Here is a 13,565-nt window from a genome sequence, read left to right as displayed (position 1 = left end):
GCTGGAGTGCAGTGGCGTGATCTCAGCTCACTGCAACCTCCTCCTCCCGGGCTCAAGCCATGCTCTTACCTTAGCATCCCCAGTACCTGGGATTACAGGTGCCAGCTACCATGCCTGGCTTTTTTTTTTTTTTTTTTTTTTTTTAGCGACAGGTCTCACTATGCTGCCCAGGCTGGTCTTGAACTCCTGAGCTAAAGGGATCCTCTCCCCTTGGCCTCCCAAAGCGCAAGGATTACAACCATGAGCCACTGCACCTGGCTGCTAACAGTTTTTAAAATTTAACAATAACGACAACATCCCCTGGTGCGATGACTCACACCTGTAATCCCAGCACTTTAGGAGGCTGAGGTGGGAGGATTGCTTGAGCTGAGGAGGCTGAGGCTGCAGTGAGCCGTGATCATGCCACTGCACTACAGCCTGGGCATCAGAACCAGCCTCTTTCAACCAAAACCAAAACCTAACCTCCGGGTAAAGAAATCAGAACAGTGGTTGCTTCTGGAGGTGGGGGATTGACTGCCAAGGGGCTGTGAAGGAAATGGTCTCTGCCTTGAGGCAGGTGGTGGGTACAGAGGTGCCTGGATCCTCACAAGTTATCAACCTATATCCACTTCGTTGTTTGTTTGGTTGTTTGTTTGTTTGTTTGTTTTTGTTTTTTTGAGACAGGCTCTCACCCTGTCGCCCAGGCTGGAGTCCAGTGGCATGATCACCGCTCACTTGCAGCCTCCACCTCCTACGCTCAAGTGATCCTCCCATCTCAGTTTCCCAAGTCCCAGCCTGGATCTGGGACTCCATGCCTGCGCCATCACACCTGACTAATTTATTTTTTGTACAGACGGGGTCTCACCATGTTGCCCAGGCTGGTCTTGAACTCCTGGGCTCAAGTGAGCCTCCTGCCTCGGCCTCCCAAAGTGCTGGGATCACAGGCATGAGCTACTGCACCTGGCTTTATATACATTTTAAGTGAGGGCATTTCAAGGTAAGTAAAGGAAGAGGTGGCCAGGAGGCTGCAGCACGTGGGGACCCCCAGCTCATCCCTCCCGCTCCCACTCTGGCCAAGGCCACGGTTCTGCCTCCCCGATCCACCAGGGCCCCGGCTCACGCGTGTGTCCTGACTCATCTGTCCTGAGTGTCCCCGGGCTCCTTCCTCGCCGTTCGGGTCCAGATCCCATGGGGACTGGAGGGCAGTGTGGGGGAGGGGTCCCTTCCCCAGGAGCAGTGGAGTGGGAACACCTGTGCGTGCCTGTCCCCGACCACTGCTGCAGCTGCACGGTTCCCACAAGCCTCTGTAGCCTTTGCGGGGTTGGGGACATGGCGGGTGACGTCCTGGCCAGCGGTTAGCTCCTAAGGCCACACAGCTGGGGCCACAGGTCACTCAGGCCAGGTGAGGGCTTGCGCCCTTTCCCCCATCTGCCCCAGCCAGCTTATAGCTAGGGGCTGCCCCTGAGGCTCTAGTACCGTCTCCTTAGGGCCCTCCTGGGCCCGCCCCCTCGACTTCTGAGCTCTTCGCTGCCCTAGGGACGCAGACCTCTTTGGGTCCTGCGACCCCAGGTTCGTTTCCTCTCCTCCGAGGGTGCTCTGGACTGCTCCCACAAACTCCTAGGCTGTTTGCTTAAATCTCCCCTTCAGAGTGAGGCCCTCCTGGCCTCAGTATCAGTAATAATAATGAGAAGAAGAACTCTTTAGCTGCTGGTGTGTGTATTTTACTTATTTTAAAAATTGACTCTCTTCCCTAAACTCTCCAGCCTCCTCCCGGCTGTCAGCTGCCACACGCAGGAATTTGTTGGTTTTGTTCAGCTGTTCCCGTGGGCCTGGTGGGCACTGGCTGGCAGGAAGAGCCCATGTGCATGCAGAGGTGGGTGCGTCTCATCCCGACCAGGCCATGCTCCGTCCTGCTGGTGCCCGCCAACCCCTCTGTCCTCAGACAATCTTCTAGAATGAGCGAAGGGCCTGAACAGGTGATTCACTCAAGAAAGAGGAATGTAGGGGCCCCGCCAGCGTGGATTGCATGCTTGGCCTGGTCCTGGTGCTCAAGAAGGCTCTTCCTTTTGTCATGGGACCCATACTCTAAGCATCCTCAATTACATACAGGATCAGAGAGGGCAAGTCATTTGCCCACGGCTCCACAGCTGCCTGACCCCACAACCCGTGCTGTAAACACACATGCTGCAGGCATCAGTGTGGTGGAATTGAAAACAGCCACGAGGCACCTTTTCCTGTGCATTTTGGGGAACTTGCCCTCCATCTGGCAGCCTCAATCCAAAATTTCTCCCTCCCCCGTTTCCCAGTTGCTGAGAAAGGGCTCCACCACCCATGCTGCCACCCGCACGAGGAACCAGGTGTCCCCGCCCATGCTCTGCCCTGAGGCTCAGCCTCCATCAGTTCTCATCAGGGCGATGCCAGGCCCCCAGGCCGGGCCCTAGGCCCAGTCTTGCCCTCTGATGCCACCTGCTCAGCTCCAGGGCCCAGGTGTGCTGGCGCCTGTGTGCAGGGGTGGCCCAGTGTGAGGACAGCAGGTAGCTACCCCTCCCCTGTACACAGCCCAAGTGACCAACACAGATGTCGACTGGGCCTTCACTGAGCCTTCTTAGCCATCCCCTGGGACCCGGCGAGCACCCGCACCCCAGCCTCTGGCTACACCATGGGGCACAGGCCTGCTCCCCCAGCCTCTCCTCTACTTGGTCACATTGCCCATTGGGTTTTTTTCTTTTTTTTTGTTTTTTTTCCTTTTTTGAGACAGTCTCACTGTCACAAGGCTGGAGTGTAGTGGCGCAATCTCGTCTCACTGCAACCTCCGCCTCCCGGGTTCACACCATTCTCCTGCCTCAGCCTCCCAAGTAGCTGGGAATACAGGTGTGCGCCACCACGCCTGGCTAATTTTTTGTATTTTTAGTAGAGACGGAGTTTCACCATGTTGGCCAGGATGGTCTTGATCTCTTGACCTCGTGATCCATCCGCCTCAGCCTCCCAAAGTGCTGGGATTACAGGCGTGAGCCACCATGCCCGGCCTGCCCAGGGGTTTTCAAACCATGAAAAGATCAAGTGAATTCTTTGCAGAGCACAAGAGACTCAGCTGGGGCTCAAACCCGGGGATGCTGGACTCAGCCCCTGGAGGCCCCTGCCCAAGCCTGGGCCTGGAGGAGAAAGGCAATGGTCGAAGGCCACCTGGGTTAGCCCGGCTCAGCTAAGGCCACAGCTGCTGCCATCCCAGGCTTCCTGGCCAGCCCTGCACCGACACATCTTGCCCACTCCCAGGGAAGGGATTATCGCCCCAAGGTCTCCAGATAACAGCAGGCACACAGGGCTATAACGGGGACCGGCAGACAGGCGTCCTACACCCCTGCCAGCGGCACCATGGCTTTCCTCTGGCTCCTCTCCTGCTGGGCCCTCCTGGGTACCACCTTCGGTGAGTGCCAGGCCCTGCGGAGGCCGAAGGGTTTTCTCCTCTCACTCCCAGCCCCGAGGCCAGCAAGAGGCAGCAGGGTCCCAGCTCCCAGTTCAGCTGTGCACCGCAGTGTGGGCCTGGGCGAGTCACCGGCTCCATCTCTGCCGTGGGCGCTGAGAGGTCAATGCCTCCCTCCCAGGCTCAGCTGCCGCCTCTGAGCTCAGGAGATGGGGAGTCCCGCTCCCCTTCCTCACCCCCAGCAGACCTGAGGCTCTCAGGGGAGGAGGCGGGGGGAGGAGGCAGGTGTCCGGGGGCTGCCCTGAGGCCTTCGGGAAACCCCCAAACAGTCAGCGGCCCCAGCACAGGTTTGGGTGGTGAATGTGTGGGCAGCTGGGGCTTGGCACCGTTCAGTCCAAACCTTTCAGAACCTCGAGCCTCACCCTCTTAAACTCCTGCTCACGGAGCACTTCCCGGGTGCCAGGCGCAGAGCTGGCGCTCTGCCTGCTCACTCTACCAAACCTGTGAGGTCAGAAACAGCGTGATCCCCACTTTGCTGATGGGGACACTGAGTGGCTTAGCTGGGCAGGGAGGGAGCCAGGTTCAAACCCACAGAGTCTGGCCTCCCAGACTGAGCGCCGGGGCTGCCGCCCACCGCACGCTCCACCTGTGTGACTTCTCCGAACTGAGGTGGGGCCAACACCCCATTCCTCAGCAGCCCACAGCCCAGTTCATTGGACTCAGTTGTACCTGGGGATTCCAGCTCTGCGGAGAGGAGAGCCAGGGCCAACTTCTCAGAGAAGGGGATGTGGGAGCCAGTCTAGGTCCCAGAGACTGGAAAAGAGTTGGGAGTGAGAGGAGGCTGGAGCATTAGGACCTGGGTGGGTGGTACCCACCCCTCAGCCCACTCCCGCCCCCAGGCTGCGGGGTCCCCGCCATCCACCCTGTGCTCAGCGGCCTGTCCAGGATCGTGAATGGGGAGGACGCCGTCCCCGGCTCCTGGCCCTGGCAGGTGTCCCTGCAGGTGAGGGGGTTCTGCAAGGTGGGGGGCACCCTGGGTAGGGGCCAGGCTGGGGGTGCCCCCGGGTGGGAGGTGCTGACCCTCCCCATCTTGCTCACAGGACAAAACCGGCTTCCACTTCTGCGGGGGCTCCCTCATCAGCGAGGACTGGGTGGTCACCGCTGCCCACTGCGGGGTCAGGTGAGGACCGGGCAGCCTTGGGCTCCGCTTCCAGCACCGGTCGGGTGGGAGGGGAGCAGGGCATGTTCTCTCACCCACAACGCTCTGCCCAGGACCTCCGACGTGGTCGTGGCTGGGGAGTTTGACCAGGGCTCTGACGAGGAGAACATCCAGGTCCTGAAGATCGCCAAGGTACCCAGGCCCCGTGCAGCAGAGGGCAGGGCCGTGGGCACGGGGGGAGACCCCTCGGCTGCTTCAGGGACAGGCGCCCAGTGGGGCCGGGCCGGCCTCGTGATTCCCATTCCGGCCCTGGGGATGGACTGCTCCTTAACGGGCACCAGGGAAGGAGTCTGTCCTCGAAGCCTGCAGGTCCTGCCTCCTCCCAGGGCCTCACCCCGGCACTCTGGCCCCCACCCCCAGGTCTTCAAGAACCCCAAGTTCAGCATTCTGACCGTGAACAATGACATCACCCTGCTGAAGCTGGCCACACCTGCCCGCTTCTCCCAGACAGTGTCCGCCGTGTGCCTGCCCAGCGCCGACGACGACTTCCCCGCGGGGACACTGTGTGCCACCACAGGCTGGGGCAAGACCAAGTACAACGGTGAGGGGCCGCGGGGCTGCCTCTGGGGTCTGGGCTGCCTGGCCGTGGAGTCCCCCCGTGACCGTTTGGCTCTAAATTCCAACACGCTCCTAACTGCCCGTTCGTTATTGAAAATCTTCTGAATTTAAAATCCCCCAAATGCAAATAAAATCCAGGTCGGATCATGAGGAGCCTGCACAGGGAGCTTCTGAGCAGCGCCCGGCCGGGTGAGCCCTGCCCTGGCTGACCTGCCTGGAGTCGCAGCGTGGGGCTCCCACCCGGGCAGGGCCGAGGCCCCCTTGTCCCACAGGCGCTTCTGAGGCTCCAGGGGCCGTACCCAACATCGTGGTGATGGTGCAGGGTAGGGCAGGCGTGTCGGCCCCGGGTCTCTCCCTCCACTCTTGGCTGAGTGAGCCCAGGGGCCCTGACCCTCCTCCTGTCCTGCAGCCAACAAGACCCCTGACAAGCTGCAGCAGGCAGCCCTGCCCCTCCTGTCCAATGCCGAATGCAAGAAGTCCTGGGGCAGGAGGATCACCGACGTGATGATCTGTGCCGGGGCCAGTGGCGTCTCCTCCTGCATGGTGAGGCTGGCCCTGCCCAGGCCCTGGCCAGGCGAGCGGGGTGCAGGGGAGGTCTGGGCTTTCCACCCCTCTCTGCTCTCATCTACTAACCCCACACCCTCCTGGGGCCCAGTGAGGGCCAGGCCTTGGGGTCACAGCCGCCCATGAGGGTTCCTCCAGGCCATGCAGCTGAGGCTGCCCCTGGGGACTTCCTTGCAGCCCTGTGAGCTGGAGGTTTGGAGAGATGGATGGTGCCCCGGCTTAGAGAGGGAAGCCACCTGCCCCAGCTCCCTCCAAGAGTGCATGGCAGAGTGGGGGCTGCCATGTGAACCCAGATCTCAGGACCCCGGCACAGCCCCTATGCCCATGCTTACCATTTCTCCGCACCCCTCCCTAGACTCCACCAGGTCAGGGTCCCCTAGGCCCTGGCACCCCTTTCAGGCCTAGAGATACTTCCTCTCCTTCCTGCAGGGTGACTCTGGAGGCCCCCTGGTCTGCCAGAAGGACGGAGCCTGGACCCTGGTGGGCATTGTGTCCTGGGGCAGCCGCACCTGCTCTACCACCACGCCCGCTGTGTACGCCCGTGTCGCCAAGCTCATACCCTGGGTGCAGAAGATCCTGGCCGCCAACTGAGCCCGCAGCTCCTGCCACCCCTGCCTTAAGATTTCCCATTAAATGCATCTGTTTAGAAGCCCTGACTGCACTGCCTGTGTCTGTGTGGCCCAGGGGAGGTGGGCTTGAAGTTGTCCTTGTCACCCACAAAGGGGCAGCACTACCGTTCCCTTTCCAGGCTGCAGTTAATGTTGGCAACCCAGCCTTCTCAGGAAGCTGAGGTCTTCATATCTCTTGCCTGCTCACGGCTCCACCCTGGGTTTAGAATTTAGGCCCTACCTGCTGAAGCTAGCTTGACCCGTGGGGCTTTCTGGAAGGCAGCAGTCCTTGGCCAGGCTCTGCAATCCATAGCCCCCTGGAGTTGTCACTGGGACCACTGCTGACCCACACACTCCAGGTGCCTTTCTCTGCCTTTAGTCCCCCATGTCCAGTGCTCAGGAATGTGCATGCAAGCATCACCCCCTCCCCCGTCAGACCCCAGCCCCTCACACCTTCTGCATCCACTGCTGGGAGCTGGCGCCACTGTCCTCTCAGCTCCCACACTCTTCCCCGCCTCCCTCTCTGCATTTTCTGTGACCCTGCAGTTAGACTTTTTTTTTTTTTTTTTTTTTTTTTTTTGAGACAGAGTCTTGTTCTGCTGCCTAGGCTGGAGTGCAGTGACATCTTGGCTCACGGCAACCTCTGCCTCCTGGGTTCAAGCCATTCTTCTGCCTCAGCCTCTCAAGTAACTGGGATTATAGGCACTCACTACCACGCCCGGCTAATTGTTGTATTTTCAGTAGAGATGGGGTTTCACTATGTTGTTCAGACTGGTCTCAAATTCCTGACCTCAGGTGATCTGCCTGCCTCGGCCTCCGAAAGTGCTGGGATCATAGGCATGAGCCACCGCGCTCGGCCTCTGCAGTTAGATCTTGAGGCTTCCTCACGCTCAGCTTCCATCACTTCGGCCAGGCCATGGAGGGGGCCGGTTCCTTTCCCAGGATGTGTCCGGATTGGCGGTCTCTCTCTCTCTGGAAACTTTTAGTCTTTCCTTTAATGCAGTGAAAATTTTGTTGGAGAAAATTCTCCTGTTGTTCCACTGTCTGAAAAGATATTTATTCATTTTGATCTTGTAAAAGTTGCCTGTCACTCTGAAAAATAATTTTTGTTGAGACGTGCATGTGGGTATGTACATGGATATTTGGACTTGGAAGGTGTTTCAGTGTCTCCTGGCTTCTGTTGATTCGTGGAGAAGTCAGTGATTTACTGTTGCTTTTTAAAAAGGTTTAATGGATTTTCTTTGGATGCTTTTAAGATTTTACCTTTGATTTTCGTTGGTTTACCAAGATGCTTAGTTTCTTAGTTTCCTTGACTCAGCCTGCATGGGGTTCTTAGACAGTCTTTTTTAGAGTCTTGCTTTCTTGCCCAGGCAGGAGTGCAGAGGTTCGCTCTCAGCTCACTGTAACATCCATCTCTCAGGTTCAAGTGAGTCTCGTGTCTCGGCCTCCCAGGTAGCTTGGAGTACAGGCCTATGCTACCATGCCCGGCTAACTTATTTTATTATTTTTTTTTTGAGATGGAGTTTTGCTCTTGTTGCCCAGGCTGGAGTGCAATGGCGCTTTCTCGGCTCACTGCAACCTCCACCTCCTGGGTTCAAGAGATTCTCCTGCTTTAGCCTCTTCAGTAGCTGGCATTGTAGGCGTGAGCCCCCACACCCAGCTATTTTTTGTATTTTTAGTAGAGAGGAGGTTTCACCATGTTGGTCAGGTTGGTCTCAAACTCCTGACCTCAGGTGATCCACCCGCCTCGGCGTCCTCAAGTGCTGGGATTAGGCGTGAGCCACCGCGCCCAGCCTCTGAGTGCTTTTTATCATGAAGGGTGTTGGATCTTGTCAAAGGCCTTTTCTGCATCAATTTAAGTGATCACGTGATTTTCCCCTTTCATTCAATTAATGCATATTACGCTGATGGATTTTCTTGTTATTTCCTATAGCGCTTGGCATGCTGGGATAACTCCCACTTCATCATGGTGTATAATCCTTTTAATATGCTGTCGGGTTCAGTTTGCTAGTACTTTATTGAAGGTTTTTGCATCTATATTCATGAGAGATACTGGTTGGTAATTTTCTTCTGATGTTTTTATCTGGCTTTTGTATCAGGGTAATGCTGGCTTCCTAATCTGTATGTATCCATTTGTGATTTTTTAACATCACAAATTTAGATACTCAGCTCAGTAATTTTCAGTGTGTTCTTTTCTCATAAAAGTATTTCAGGAGGCAAGCTTTCCTCCAAACACTGCTTTCATTGTATTTTTTTTTTTTTTTTTTTTGAGATGGAGTCTTGCTCTTATGCTCAGACTAGAATGCAGTGGCATGATTTCTGCTCACTGCAACCTCTCCTGAGTTCAAGTGATTCTCCCTCCTCAGCCTCCCAAATAGCTGGGATTACAGGTGTCCACCACCATGCCTGGCTAATTTTTGTATTTTTAGTAAGAACAGGGTTTCACCATGTTGGCCAGGCTGGTCTCAAACTCCTGACCTCAACTGATCCACCTACCTCGGCTTCCTAAAGTGCTGAGATTACAGGTGTGAGCCACCACACCTGGCCTTTTTTATTGCAATTTGATACACACTTTATAGTTCTAAGTCTTTTTCATTTCCTCCCCTGTACAGTGCCTCGGCATGACCCACTTTATCCTGAGGGCACCTGCAGGCCAGGGGCAGGCACCCATTGCCCCAAAGCCCTGGAGCTGGGTCGGAAGCAGAGCAGAACCCTGGTGCTCACTTCCTGTTTTTTCCTTGCACAGCCGAGTTCACAGCCTTCTGCCTTGGGCCACAGCTCTAGCCTCCCCACGTAACCACAGGTTCCGATCTTTGCTTCTTCTCCCAGGTCTTCCTGTCTCTTGATGTTTCCCTCTAAAGATCCATCATGGGCTGGGAATGGTGGCTTACGCCTGTAATCCTAGCACTTTTGGGGGCCGAGGAGGGCAGATCATGAGGTCAGGAAATTGAGACCATCCTGGCCAACATGGTGAAACCCCATTGCTATTAAAATACAAAAATTAGCCAGGTGTGGTAGTGGGTGTCTGTAGTCCCAGCTACTCAGGAGGCTGAGGCAGGAGAATCGCTTGAACCCAGGAGGCAGAGGTTGCAGTGAGGCGAGATCTTGCCACTGCACTCCAGCCTGGTGACAGAGTGAGACTCCATCTAAAAAAAATCTATCATGGCTGGTCCTGGGGGGCAGCCAACATTCCACACTAACCCGGCATCTTGGCAGGAATGGAATGGGCTCCCTCCTGCATTTTCTACTTCACTGGCTTTCCTAATACCTTTCTCTGCCCGTGCACTGTCAGCCGTTCTGATGATGCGTCTAATAGGTTGGAATTAAGGTTATAGATGGAATTTAATTATAAGGACATGAAGAGAAATTAACTTGGAGAATGGATGTGTGAAGAGGGGAAAAGCAAAATGAGAGAGAGCTTGGGCACAGGAGTGGGATCCAAAGTCGACTATTAAAAATAGTATCAAGCCGGCCGGGCGCAGGGGCTCACACCTGTAATCCCAGCACTTTGGGAGGCAGAGGCAGGCGGATCATCTGAGGTCAGGAGTTCGAGTCCAGCCTGGCCAACATGGTGAAACCCCCATCTCTACCAAAAATACAAAAATTAGCCAGGCGTGGTGGCACATGCCTGTAATCCCAGCTACGCAGGAGGCAGAGGCACAAGAATTGCTTGAACCCAGGAGGCAAGAGGTTGCAATGAGCCAAGATGGTGCCACTGCACTCTTGCCTGGGCAACAGAGTGAGACTGTCTCAAAAAAAAAAAAAAAAGCAGAGGCGGGTGGATTGTTTGAGGCCAGGAGTTTGAGACTAGCCTGGGCAACATAGTGAGACTCCTTTAAAAAAAAGAAAAAGTAGCTGGGTGCAGCGGGTGGCACCTGTAATGTGCTGCTCAGGAGGCTGGGGCATGAGGATCACTTGAGCCCAGGAGTTCGAGGCTGCAGTGAGCTATGATCACACCACTGCACTGCAGCATGGGTGACAGAGCAAGACCCTGTCACCCTGTCTTTCTCTGTGTGTGTGTGTGTGTATTTTTTTTTCTTTTTTTGAGATGGAGTCTTACTCTGTTGCCCAGGCTGGAGTGCAGTGGTGCAATCTCAGCTCACTGCAACCTCTTCCTCCCAGGTTCAAGCAATTCTCCTGCCTCAGCCTCCTGAGTTGCTGGGATTACAGGTGCATGCCACCATGCCCAGCTAATTTTTGTATTTTTAGTGGAGACATGTATTTCACCATGTTGGTCAAGCTGGTCTCGAACTCCTGACCTCAGGCGATCCACCCACCTCGGCCTCCCAAAGTGCTGGGATTACAGGTGTGAGCCACCGCGCTGGGTGTCTCTATATATAATTAGAGCCACCGCGCCCAGTCTCTCTCTATATAATTAAGAGCCAGGTTTCTTAAGGAAACTCCCAGCTCAGTGAGGGAGAACTGCTCTTAAACACAGAGGAAATTACATGTATTTTATTATGTCAACAACCATCTACATACAAATAAATGTGAGGCGTAAGTAATATAAAAATGGAATAGCAAGCACAAACCTGGCTAAGGGACTTTTTCACTTGCTGGTGAAATCTGCGTCTGTCCCCCGCTCCACCCACCGGCCTCCCAAGAGTCTGAAAACCACCCGGTATAAGGCTGCCACCTGGTGGCCAATATGAAAACTGCATATAGCTATGCCTTACTGTTCCTAACCCAGCGTTGTTTCAAAGAAATACAAAAGAAATACAAGGCGAGCCAAATGGATGATTTTAAATTTTCTGGTAGCCCTACTGAAAAAGTAAAAAGAGGCCGGGCACGGTGGCTCACGCCTGTAATCCCAGCACCTTTGGGAGGCTGAGGCGGGCGGATCGCTTGAGCCCAGGAGTTCGAGACCAGTCTGGGCAACATAGTGAGACCCTCTTCTCTACAAAAAAAAAATGCAAAAATTAGCTGGGTGTGGTGGTGAGACCCTGTCTCTTAAAAAAAAAAAAAAAAAAAAGAGGGACTGGCGCGGTGGCTCACGCCTGTAATCCCAGCACTTTAGGGGGCCGAGACAGGCGGATCACGAGGTCAGGAGATGAGACCATCCTGGCTAACACGATGAAACCACGATGAAACCCCGTCTCTACTAAAAATACAAAACAATTAGCCGGGTGTGGTGGCGGGCACCTGTAGTCCCAGCTACTCAGGAGGCGGAGGCAGGAGAATAGCATGAACCCGGGAGGCGGAGCTTACAGTGAGCTGAGATCTCGCCACTGCACTCCAGCCTGGGCGACAGAGCAAGACTCCGTCTCAAAAAAAAAAAAAAAAGAAAAAAGAATTTTAATAATATATTTTATTTAACCCAATATATCTACATATTTCAACATGTAATCAGTATTTTAAAATTATTAATGATATATTTTACACTCTTACACTCTTTCAAACCTAGTGTGTAATTTGCACTTCCATCACATCTCCACCTGGATGCTACATTTTCATGAGAAATACTCGATCTGCATTTACATCTTGTAAAACTTACAGTTGAAAAGGTAGACTCACACCCAAATTGTCCCAAATATGCTTAAAAGCTTCCAATTATGTGTTATATTGACAAGTACAGTTAAGCAAAAGGCTGAGTTTAATCAGGGGTCGCACTTGATTTAATCTCAGCTTAAAAACAGATTCCTCCTCGGGCGGGGGTTCCCCCACCCTTGGTCTGAGTTAGACCACGTTAAACAGTGCACGCGCCTCTCCCCGCCCATCGGGTGATCTGGCTTTCTACTAACAGAAACGTCTGGAGCAGTCGCAAGAGAATCCTGTCTCGGACCAGCCTGCATCTGTACCTAATCTAGTGGTTGCGTGATTAGCCACCCAGATTCCCTCCAGGACTGCAGGCCGACCTCCCCACGCGCTGCTGTGGACAGCAGACAGTCCGCAGCTGCCGTCCTCTTTGGGAGTTTCCTCAGCTGAAGAGCATCATCTTGACCTCGGGTCCTGCCTCCTTTCTGGGCAGCTGCATCCAGTGATTGGTCAGTAGGGTTTTTTAAAGGTCCAGTCTTTTCACCCAAACTTGGGACGATGTTGAGGCTCTATCTTCCTCTGCCCAACATTGCTCTTTCCCTACCCCTACGAGTCTTCGGTTCCAAAGGTATTGCTCCTGGGGTACCAGTAAACTTCTGTGTGGTCATCTTTATCTCAGAGTCTACTTCCTGTGGGGAGCTCCAGCTATGATCGTGTGTGCCGGGAGTGAGCTGCAAAATGCGGATGCTGAGGTGGGATTCTGGAGCTGGACTGCTGACTACCAGGCTGGCAGTGAGGACCTCTTCATGGTTGGTAGAGGAAGCGTAGATAGGTCGGGCACACGGTAGCAATGAGGTTGTGAAAGCTTCCACTGCTGATGAAATGCAATGGTATTCTGGGGAACACTATCCACTAGTGGGTGCCCTGTGTCAGGAGTTTGAGGTATGAGGGGAGAGAATACCTATAGAACGTAGGGCCAGGAGCAGCGGCTCGCGCCTGCAATCCCAGCACTTTGGGAGGCTGAGGTAAGAGAATTGCTGGAGCCTAAGAGTTCAAGACCAGCTTGGGCAACATAGCAAGACCCACGTCCCCATAAAAAATAAAAATTAGCCAGGTGTGGTGGTGTAGTCCCTGCTACTTGGGAGGCTGAGGCAGAAGGATCTCTTGAGCCTGGGAGGTCGAGGTTGCAGTGAGCTGTGATGATGCCGCTGCACTTCAGCCTGGGTGACAGAGCAAGACCCTGTCTCACAAACCCAAAAACCACAGTTAAACTAGGTGGTTGCTGCTAAACACAAAGACTTTGGGAAATGACAAAAGCTGAGAATGATTAACAGGCAATTAACAGCTAAGGGTGAAAGCCACCTTAGGAACACATAAAGAGGTTTTTATCTCTTGCAGCTGCAAGGTAGAGAAAGCTGAGGACTAGACCCAGGATTTAGTTGTAAGATCAGCCAAGCTCCCAAGAAGGTTAAATGCTCCACCTAGACAGGCTGCTGTGCCAGATGCAGGGCTCTGATGCATGAGATGCAGACATCTGGGTTGATGTACTCCCAAAACCTCAAATCCCCCGAGCCCGTAAGCCCGGAGTGCACAGAAGTGGCCCCACTCTTCCCACCGGGGCGAGAGTACCTTCCTCACAGGAGACGGAGGCTTCCCTCCTGCAGGACATTAACCCCAGCATCTCTCTCCTTTCCAGTCCTGGCCATGATGGCACCAGGCCTGGTAAGAGAGGAAAAGGACC

At 54.4% G+C, this 13,565-nt stretch overlaps 1 protein-coding gene across 1 annotated transcript, besides 6 other annotated features; it reads left to right on the top strand.

Moving 5' to 3' along the window:
* Positions 739-1,294: an enhancer, noted in NCBI's record as "H3K27ac-H3K4me1 hESC enhancer chr16:75243097-75243652 (GRCh37/hg19 assembly coordinates)". NCBI's record gives its function as "activates a minimal SCP1, AML or CMV promoter by ChIP-STARR-seq in naive H9 embryonic stem cells {active_cell/tissue: H9 hESC(naive)}" and the evidence as "EXISTENCE:reporter gene assay evidence [ECO:0000049][PMID:30033119]".
* Positions 1,295-1,850: an enhancer, noted in NCBI's record as "H3K27ac-H3K4me1 hESC enhancer chr16:75242541-75243096 (GRCh37/hg19 assembly coordinates)". NCBI's record gives its function as "activates a minimal SCP1, AML or CMV promoter by ChIP-STARR-seq in naive H9 embryonic stem cells {active_cell/tissue: H9 hESC(naive)}" and the evidence as "EXISTENCE:reporter gene assay evidence [ECO:0000049][PMID:30033119]".
* CTRB2 (chymotrypsinogen B2) lies at positions 3,332-6,390 on the top strand. The gene is made up of 7 exons (NM_001025200.4): positions 3,332-3,403; positions 4,300-4,403; positions 4,501-4,580; positions 4,673-4,751; positions 4,980-5,160; positions 5,587-5,720; positions 6,171-6,390. Exons 1-7 carry the CDS (start codon positions 3,352-3,354, stop codon positions 6,330-6,332), a joined length of 792 nt encoding a protein of 263 aa, NP_001020371.3. The 5' UTR covers positions 3,332-3,351; the 3' UTR covers positions 6,333-6,390.
* Positions 3,523-3,742: a silencer, noted in NCBI's record as "silent region_7710". NCBI's record gives its function as "represses an Ori minimal core promoter by ATAC-STARR-seq in GM12878 lymphoblastoid cells {active_cell/tissue: GM12878}" and the evidence as "EXISTENCE:reporter gene assay evidence [ECO:0000049][PMID:35858748]".
* Positions 8,917-8,996: an enhancer, noted in NCBI's record as "active region_11124". NCBI's record gives its function as "activates an Ori minimal core promoter by ATAC-STARR-seq in GM12878 lymphoblastoid cells {active_cell/tissue: GM12878}" and the evidence as "EXISTENCE:reporter gene assay evidence [ECO:0000049][PMID:35858748]".
* Positions 10,848-11,142: an enhancer, noted in NCBI's record as "tiled region #2157; K562 Activating DNase unmatched - State 12:CtcfO". NCBI's record gives its function as "activates a minimal TATA promoter and a strong SV40 promoter by Sharpr-MPRA in K562 cells {active_cell/tissue: K562}" and the evidence as "EXISTENCE:reporter gene assay evidence [ECO:0000049][PMID:27701403]".
* Positions 12,181-12,681: an enhancer, noted in NCBI's record as "H3K4me1 hESC enhancer chr16:75231710-75232210 (GRCh37/hg19 assembly coordinates)". NCBI's record gives its function as "activates a minimal SCP1, AML or CMV promoter by ChIP-STARR-seq in naive H9 embryonic stem cells {active_cell/tissue: H9 hESC(naive)}" and the evidence as "EXISTENCE:reporter gene assay evidence [ECO:0000049][PMID:30033119]".

This window comes from Homo sapiens, chromosome 16 (assembly GCF_000001405.40).
Source record: "Homo sapiens chromosome 16, GRCh38.p14 Primary Assembly".
Classification (NCBI taxonomy): domain Eukaryota; kingdom Metazoa; phylum Chordata; class Mammalia; order Primates; family Hominidae; genus Homo; species Homo sapiens.
The sequence above is the reverse complement of the archived record's forward strand: the minus strand, read 5'-3'. Positions and strand labels throughout refer to the sequence as shown.